Below are 9,966 nucleotides of genomic sequence, written 5' to 3'. Positions count from 1 at the left end.
GAGGACATCTAAAAGAAGCTGAGCCTGGGAAGAACCAGGGTGACAATGGGACAAAGTGAAAGCAGACATTCTGCTTATTTAAGTTTTTCAAAGCATTTGTTATGAAGTGGGGGAGTAAAAGTTAGTGCTCAGAATTTGTTGTCAGTTTGGTGCAGTGAAACAGTTTTGTCCATGGTTCCTGGAGCGGGGAACTGTGGAGTTGGATGGATGGGGGATAATTGGAGGAGATTTTGGAAGGGCGTATAGGGACAGAGCAGTGGCAGGTGGTGCGGGGGGTGCTGCTGGAGCGATGATGGCGGGGGTCCCGAGGGGGCACGAGGCCACCCTCCCAGGTGTGTGAGGGCAGAGGGGACCACAAGCCCATCCCTTTTCTGAGGGGCCCTCCTGCTGCCACCATCCCATGCCCCCACGGGGGCCCCCCGGGGCTGGCTCACAGCCGCAGGCCTCGGGGCCGCTGCTGCTGATGGATTGAAGCCGCCCCACAAGCTCAGGAGGTGCAGGGAGATGGCCTCTGGCTCCCGTGTGGGGCTGCAGGAGCAGGCGGGCTGCAAAGTGCCCGAAGCTATGGCACTGTGGGAGAGGCCAGTGTGGCTGAGCACCCATGGGTGCTCCTGGAGGGTGCATGGCTGGCTGTGGCAGTCTGGCTGCTGCTGCCTCGCCTGGCCTGGTGCCTGGTCACCTTCCCCGCCTACTGCAGCCCCCAGCCATCCCCACAGAGCTTCTCTTCGGGTGGCGCTTCTCTCCGGACAGTGGGGCCTGACCTGTGGGCAGCTGCTGGCGTCAGCACCCTTGCTCCAGTCGTGGGCCTGGGACACCAGGCTTCTCATGTGCAGGCGTCTGAGCTGCTCCAGTGAGGAGGGTAGGATCCATGGCCCCTTGGTGAAGCCTGAGCGAGACTGGGCGAGAGGCAGGGAGAGAATATGTTATTCCATCCTTGGGCCACAGATTTATGGCAAGGATGGTGGATTTCTTTATTCTCTTTTTGTAAAGGCAACCATTGTCTTAAGCATTATGCACCTTAGTGGGATAGAGGATATCTCTTTGCTATGCATTACATATTGGAATAAATAGATGAAGGCACATCAATGGAAGACTTGCAGAAAATGATGGTTGTGGCTCTTATATACAGATTATTAGTTTGTTTCTATGAGATAATTTGCATTTGGGGAGCAGGTGGAGCTACCCCAGGGAAGTTCCTGCTGGGGCTTCGAGTTGTGACATCAGTGCTTATTGCACTAAGTTGGGTTTTAGTGATTCCTTCCTCAAATGTTAGTATTACAACGTCCACTATACGAGCTTTGATCAAGAATTTTTTGATTGCTTCTTTTTTCACTGCTTTCATCACACTGCTGTTTTTTCAGCATAATCGAAAAACCTATGACATTGTAGCAGGAACCATTGTGGTAAAAAGAAATGGGGTCAGATGATGCCCCCTAAAGCCCTGATTTCCACACACTGTAATGACAAGACTAAATCATGTATCAAGGCCATCAGTACCCTGGGTTACACTAATTGATGCTTTAGAAATTAAAGCAGTCACTCCAGTGTGATGCAGGTGACTACTCTGAAAGTATTGATTTTGCTTGAATGCCAAAGAACTTTTCCAGAAGAAAAACCTATTTAAATTCAAGTATTAAAATTTTTAGATCAAAAAGGCAAATTATTTTACAAACAATAGACAATATATATTTTCTTAAGATCTAAGAATTTGCTGAAAGCATTTTCAGCTTTGAAATCTCCAAATGAAATTTTAAAATTTATTTTGGTTTATCCCAGAATAATGGAAAATGTCCAGTTGTGTTTTGTAAACACCTATGTAACTCATCTTTTAGTTCACACTTCCTGGGGAGCCACCAAAGAAGGTCCACACAGGAGTTAGGGGACCCTTACCCTCAGGAACAGTTGATCTATTACGTGGAAGGTCTAGTCTAAATTTAAAAGGTGTCACTGTACATATGAGAATAATTGACTGTGATTATACCGGAGAAATTCAATTAGTTATTAGTTCCTCGACTCCATGGTCTGCCTCCCCAGGAGAAAGAATTGCTCAGTTGTTGCTGTTACCTTACCTAAAACTAGGAAGCAGCACAGTGAAAAGAACAGGAGGCTTTGGTAATACTAATCCAGCAGGAAAGGCTGTGTATTGGGTTAATCAGGTGTCGGACAAAAGACCTATTTGCACAGTAGCTATTCAGGGAAAAGATTTTGAAGGACTAGTAGATACTGAAGCTGATGTCTCTATTATTGCTATAAATCAATGGCCCCAGCACTGGCCTAAGCAAAAGGCATCCATTGGTATTGTTGGAGTAGGAGCTGCCTAGGAAGTTTTTCAGAGTTCCTTGATTTTACCATGTTAAGGGCCGGATGGTCAGGAAGGGACAATCCAACCTATCATTACACCTATTCCTGTTAATTTATGGGGTAGAGACCTATTGCAACAATGGGGTGCTGAAATATCTATTCCTATGGATCAATATAGTAATAATAGTAGACAAATGATAAGAAATATGGGAAAAGGACTAGGAAAAGATAAAAAGGGCCAATCAGAACCTTTAGAATTAAAAGGGCAAACAGATCAGACTGGATTGGGCTGTCATTTTTAGGAGCAGCCATTGTTGAGCCTCTGGCTCCCATTCCTCTTGTTTGGCTAACTGCCAAACCAGTTTAGGTGGAGCAATGGCTGCTGAAACAGGAAAAACTGGAGGCTTTACAAGAATTGGTGCAGGAATAATTGCAAAAGGGACATACAGAGCCTACTTTCTCCCTTTGGTATTCTCCTGTATTTGTCATTAAGAAAAAAAATCAGGAAAATGGAGAATGTTAACAGATTTAAGGGCCGTTAATGCTGTGTTTCAACCCATGACTGCAGCTGAACAACACCTGACAGGACAAAAGGAAAATAAAAAGGCTGGACAAGATATATGGTGGAGGGATGCACATACAAAGAGCTGGGAAAAAGGAAAGATAATTTTCTGGGGAAGAGGATTTGTTTGTGTCTCTCCAGGTGACAATCAGGTGCCTGTGTGGGTGCCCACCAAACATCTGAAGATCTATCATGAGGCACAGCATCTAGTGGACCCACCTGTACAGTGCAAATTGAAGGTTTAAGGATTGCTCTTAAGCCTCAATTTGCTTTCTCTATGCCTTCTATTAATCAGAAAAAAGCCTGTTTCTCATTATCAGTGCTAAGTTTTACCCTACGGTAATTAACCAAAGAGGCAGAAGTTACAAATGCTTCAGCAATGGCATGCCTCCTGGCTACAGCCACAAAAGTTTTTGCTTCTGTTTTAGTAGAGTTACTAAAATGGGGTGAGGGTATGCTTGTGTTTTTGCAGGAGATAAACTGTGTAGGTGCCCTCAAGATGTGTACAACCATGGAACAGGAGACTAGAAGGACTCGTGGATCCCAACCATGGATGAGGTTCCCCAGTATGAGCCACGCTGAGAAACTGCTGGAGCACCAAAGTTTTACCTATAGATGCTTAATGGACCAATGCTTTCTGACTGAACTGCTCTCTACCCTGAATACAAGAGACCCCAATAGGTAGGCAGGAGTATCATCACCCCTATTTAGCATGAAGAAGTTGCAGAAGATGGACCTTCATCCTTCTGCAACCCCTAGGATTAAGGGTCCTCTTGTGAAAGGGAAAGGGGAGATATGTAGGAAGCATTCAAACCAGAGCAACTCCATTTGGAATAAGGACTAAGAAAAATGAAGCTGGATCACCAACTGGCAATTAAGGGCTGCACAGCCTGCAACTGCCTTGCTCAATTAATTTTTAAAAAGAGGCCACCTTATGCTAATAATAATGATAGCTGTGGTGGTTTTTACAAAAAAGAGAAGGGGGGCATGTTGGGAGAAAAGCTGAGTGTTGGGAGAGAAGCTGAGGTGGGGCTTCCATACCTGCTAGACTTGCTGGCTCCTTGCTTCTAGCACTCCCATTATCTCAAGCAGCTGTATATTTCTCATTCACTTGATACACTGTTTCCTTTTAACCCCCACATCCTCACCACCTGTTTGAGCACCAATAAATAGCGTGGGCTCCCAGAGCTCGGGGCCTTCGCAGCCTCCACACTCGCGATGGCCCCCTGGTCCCACTTTCTCAAACTGTCTGATTCCTTTAACTCCGCCAGACTTTGTTGCCCCCACGACCTGGTGTTGGGTCTGATCACCCCAACAACCACTGATCTGCTTTCTTGTCCCAAATATCATCTAAATGGAATCATAGAGTATGTAGTCTTTTGAGTCTAGCTTCTTTCACTTAGTATAGTGCACCTGTGAGCTTCCTCCATGTTGTCTCCTGTACCAGCAATTCTTTCTTTCTATTGTTTTCCAGTGGTCCATTGCATGGGTCTATCACAGTGTGTGCATCTAGTCACTAGTTAGAGGATACTTGGATTATTCCTAGTTTTTAGCACTTACATATAAAGCTGCCCTAAATATTTATGTTTAGGTTTTTTGTGTGAACATAGTTTTCATTTTTCTTGGGTAAGATTAGAAGTGGGTTTCTGGCTTATTTGGTTGAGTGTACATTTAGTTTTATAAGAAATCCTGCACTTACAACAACCGTAATAGTTCAAGTTGTTCTCCTGTAACTTTTCTGGAAGGAGCTAATCAGACCAGTCACAGACAAGTCGGAGGCAGAAAGATTGAATGCCGAACTCTGCAAATCTGGCTATAAAGCTTATATATGATTATATTGTACCTTTTTCTAAGGACTAATGTTAGAAGAATCAATAGGAAGGAGAAATATCACTCCTGTAGAATAGTTCTCTTCATGGGATACTTGAGAGGACTGTGTTTACAATTGGCCTCTTTCCAACTATGGTTCCCTCCTGTCATTTTATAAAGTAATAACAAATGACAGATTAGAGGTGATATAAAACAATTAAAAATCCAAAGAAAATGAATGGAAAAATAATAAGAAATATAATTAAAATTTAAGATAAAAAGAGAAAGGGGAAATAACAATATAGAATGATAGTAATCCCAGCACTTTGGGAGACTGAGGTGGGTGGATCACCTGAGGTTGGGAGTTTGAGACCAGCCTGACCAACATGGAGAAACCCCATCTCTACTAAAAATACAAAATTAGCTGGGCACGGTGGCACATGCCTGTAATCCCAGCTACTTGGGAGGCTGAGGCAGGAGAATTGCTTGAACCTGGGAAGTGGAGGTTGCGGTGAGCCAAGATTGCGCCATTGTACTCCAGCCTGGGCAACAAAAGTGAAACTCTGTCTCAAACAAAACAAAACAAAATAACCAAAAAAAAACTAGAAAAATCAACCAAGAAAGAAAGTAAACAGTTTAGGAATACAACAAACACACATTGCTATTATAAGCAGAAAAATTTATGTGGTTTTTTTTTAGGAATATAGGAAGTTAAGGAATAACACCAAATTTTGTTTTTATTGCAATAAGGGAGTAGACAAGGCTGAAAGCTTGCCATACTTATATTATTTTGAAATATTGCCATACTCACTTTCTCCAAGACTTGAGATGACCCACAAGTACTCCTTGAGCAGAGCTCCTCCAGTCTGAGCCCAGGGTAAAGGGACCCTCACTTCAAGGAAACTCTCTTCACCTTTAGTGTTTCTCCTGTGTTAAGATACTTGTGTTACCGATAATGTGCTGTGTCCACTTAGCATTTGTTAAACTTGGCTGCACATCCCATCCACCTTGGCCCCTTTCCACTTTCAAATGCACCTGGGACTATAATCACAAAATATCAGGCTAGACGCACTGTTCTCCTTGGTCCAGATGGAAGGCTGTGAAAGTCCATGGACTTTGAGTCAGATAAATGTGGTTCCACTACTAACTACATAGTGGTTTTGATGTGGAGCTTGGTAATAAGGAGCAGAGAGTTCAGATCAAGAGAGTTTACGTAGAGATTCACATGAAGGCAAATCTCAGGGAAAACCAGGAACAGAAAACAAAGTGCTTCTGGGTCTTGGTGAGCCTGGGACTGGAGCTATACTGGATTCAGGACAACACTAGAGGCCCCTGGGGCTTGTGAAACTACCATTTTGTGATTAATGTGGCTCTGGTCCATTCCCTCTGTCTGCTCTAATTACCTCTCTGACTTCTCTTTAATTAAAATTGTCCTTGTCCCTTTTCAGTTTTTCTAAGAGATATGATTACTGGCTCAGGTCACTTTGTTTTTAATACCATTCCATAAATCAAAAGTTGCTAGCAGCATATGGCTGCTTTTTCCTTTTACCTCTCCTCTAATCACCTAAGTCCCGATGAAGAGGACAGGGAGGGAGGGACAGGACCATGTGACACAAAGTATGACCCCACAGGCCACCAGGACACTAGGAGTGCTTGATAGAAGAGTCTGTGGCCAGACAGTTAATGCAAATATATATGGTACACTGAGCCTCAGTTTCTTCATCGATAAAACAAACCTAGTAGTCCATAATTCAGAGGCAGTAGAGCTTTGCAGCTAAGAGCAAAAACTCTGATGCCAGATTGCCTGGATTTGGTCTTGACCATGCCATTTACTGGCTGCGAAAGCTTAGGCAGTTTCCTAACCTCTCTGTGTCTTTATTAAGTGAGGGTACTCAATATTGTTGGTGGTTACTGCGGTTACATTACTGCATAATGTTATTGTTGGAGTGAGTATCTGTGAGCTGCTTAGAAGTGTCATTTGAAGTTTGCCTGTCATTGTTATCCTTTCTATGTTGTTGTGAACACTGAATGAGATGAGATAAGCAAAAACACCCAGTATACAGTAGATGCACATCTCTAAATAAACTGCCTGCCTGCAAACCTGTATCCTAACCCTGCTTTCAGAGGAACCCAAACTCAAACAAGCACCTGCTATGCACCATCACTGTGCCTTCACGAAAGAGAAGTTAAAGAGATGAACAGCTAACAGAAATACTTACATTTTATTGCATTTGCTTTTGGGTTTTTGGTCACGAAATCCTTGCCTAAGCCAATGTCTAGTATAGCTGGGACCTAATTAAGCTAAAAAGCTTTTGCACGGCAAAAGGAACAGTCAGCAGAGTAAACAGACAACCCACAGAGTGGGAGAAAATCTTCGCAATCTATACATCTGACAAAGGACTAATATCTAGAATTTACAACGAACTCAAATCAGTAAGAAATAAACAATCCCATCAAAAAGTAGACTAAGGACATGAATAGACAATTCTCAAAAGAAGATATACAAATGGCCAACAAACATATGAAAAAATCCTCAACATCACTAATGATCAGGGAAATGCAAATCAAAATCACAATGTGCTATCACCTTACTCCTGCAAGAATGGCCATAATCAAACAATCAGGAAACGGTAGATGTTGGCGTGGATGTGGTGAACAGGGAACACTTCTACACTGCTGGTGGAAATGTAAACTAGTACAGCCACTATGGAAAACAATGTGGAGATTCCTTAAAGAACTGAAAGTAGAACTACCATTTGATCCAGCAATCCCACTACTGGGTATCTACCCAGAGGAAAAGAAGTCATTATTCGAAAAAGATACTTGCACACGCATGTTTATAACAGCACAATTCGCAATTGCAAAATCATGGAACCAACCCAAATGCCTATTGATCAACTAGTGGATAAAGAAACTGTGGTATATATACATATGACGGAATACTAAGCAGACATAAAAAGGAATGAATTAACAGCATTTGCAATGATCTGGATGAGATTGGAGACTATTATTCTAAGTGAAGTAACTCAGGAATGGAAAACCAAACATTGTATGTTCTCACTGATAAGTGGGAGCTAAGCTATGAGGATGCAAAGGCATAAGAATGATACAATGGACTTTGGGGACTTGGGGGAAAGAGTGGGAGTGGGGCGAGGGATAAAAGACAACTAATACAGTGCAGTGTATACTGCTCGAGTGATGGGTGCACCAGGATCTCACAGATCACCACTAAAGAACTTACTCATGTAATCAAATACCACCTGTACCCCAATAACTTATGGAAAAATAAAATAAAATACTAAAAAAAAAGAGAATACTTAGAGCTCTACTCCAGACAAAGACATTGATTATGGAGTGTGTTGTAGTCTCAATCACAGCTTTTTTAAAAAAAGAATATGAGATTCTTCATCTTGATTAATAGCTCACAGCCCTATGTTCAAAGAAATAAGTTGTCTTCCACTATTAATAGAGTTTAGCCTCCTCTGACATGTTTATTTGAAAAGTCCCAAGTCTAGGTTATATGGATAGATGTGAGTGCAACTGCCCAGCAGGAGCCATGCAGTGTCCACACCCCAAAGGTGTGACAGGCACAATAGAGATGGAAGAATGGGGCCTGGGGTGGGGGGGTGCAGGGGTGCTAACTTCTCTCCTTCCTACGGCTTTTAGTTAAAGCTCAAAAACCCAGAATTTCTCCAAATTCCCAAAATAGGAGTACTTGCTCAGTAAATACTGTAGATTTAAATTTGATCTGAGAGTGTTTCCACTTCCACATGCCATATTTGCTTCTCCCCTGTCAAATAGCCAGTGGTGAGTACATGTGTCACTTTAAACAGCTAATAGAAGTGTCTGTCAATATGTCTGTGCCAAATGGCTCAGCAATAGCCAAGAGCTAAGAGCAAGCTCTAAATACAAATGGCTGAGTTAGGGTGGCAGCCACTGGGCAGTCAGTATATCCCTAAGTGGAGTGCCTTTCCACTCAGCATCTAGATCCACTGCGCTGCAGGCACAGTTCAGAGGAGCCCTCAGGGAGTTGCTACAAGATGAATTATCATTAGAATCCCTTGGGCTTCCTGGACAAGTTGTCTTGTGTGTAAGGCTGAAGGCATGGGTCAGCATATGAGCAGGACATTTCGCTGCTAGAAGAGTCCTCTCCTCAGAATCTTGTCCTTGCAATGCATCAACCCCACTGCCTTCGTACTTTTTTGAAATGGAGTCTCAATCTTGGCTTTTGTCACCCAGGCTGCAGTGCAGTGGCGTGATCTCGGCTGACTGCAGACTCTGCCTCCTGGGTTCGAGTGATTCTCCTGCCTCAGCCTTCGGAGTAGTAGCTGGGATTACAGGCATGTGGTACCACGCCCAGCTAATTTTTGTATTTTTTAATAGAGATGGGGTTTCACCATGTTGGCCAGGTTGGTCTCGAACTCCTGACCTCAGGTGATCCGCTCACCTTGGCCTCTCAAAGTGCTAGGATTATAGGTGTGAGCCACCGCACCTGGGCTGCCTTCCTACTTAATACCCACTCTCCAGGGAAGTCAACAATGCCTGTTTGGTGGGGAGTCAGTAGGTTCTCGACCTGAAGAAATGCTGCTGGAAAACCATCTAGCCCTTCAGTAAAGGAGGAAAAACTCACATTTCACACTGCACCCACTTGACCCACATGGGGTGAGAGCTCTGTGTCCCAGTAGAACTAAGGGTCTTGGGTACCTGCTTCCAGTCTCTGAACTTAGGACCACTTGGTACTTTAGAAGACAGAATACTGGCTCAGCAGGCTCAGGTGTAGCTCCCTGTGAGGGCTCTTTTGGGTGAACTTGCTCATTAAGTGACACTCGAAGCAACCTGTTTAGCTGAGCAGGGTCCTCTGCGTGAGCGGTTGGTGTTGACTGCCATAACTGCCTGACTTCCCTCCAACTTCCATCCTTTGTTATTGGACACATTCTAACATGAGGCCTAGACGGTCTGTCACACATGATTGTGCCATTGAACACTATATAAAGAAGCCCTTCAGAGTAGACACATGGGCTCAAAGCCCGCCCAGCCTCCTCAGGCAAGGTGTGTGCCCTGGTGCAAGGTTGCTTCCACCTGGCAATGTCATCATCACCTTCCAAAGGCTGATGCCCTGAAGCTGACTTGTGATCAGAGGGCTCTTCCTGTATTCACACAACTCCTTAGTCCTGCTTTATCTGACTCCCAACCCCTAAGCCTTGCCCTCCTTCCCAGCACCCTGCACCCAGCCCAGGTAGTCAGAAACAGGAAGTGGAGTCTGTGGTAGGAGTGTCAGGCTCCCCCTACCCTGC

At 43.9% G+C, this 9,966-nt stretch overlaps 1 pseudogene; it reads left to right on the top strand.

Annotated features, from left to right (window-relative positions):
* On the top strand, positions 555 to 1,849 carry FAM8A6P (family with sequence similarity 8 member A6, pseudogene; annotated as a pseudogene).

This window comes from Homo sapiens, chromosome 6 (assembly GCF_000001405.40).
Source record: "Homo sapiens chromosome 6, GRCh38.p14 Primary Assembly".
NCBI classification, from domain to species: domain Eukaryota; kingdom Metazoa; phylum Chordata; class Mammalia; order Primates; family Hominidae; genus Homo; species Homo sapiens.
This window is presented reverse-complemented; position numbering and strand designations above follow the sequence as displayed.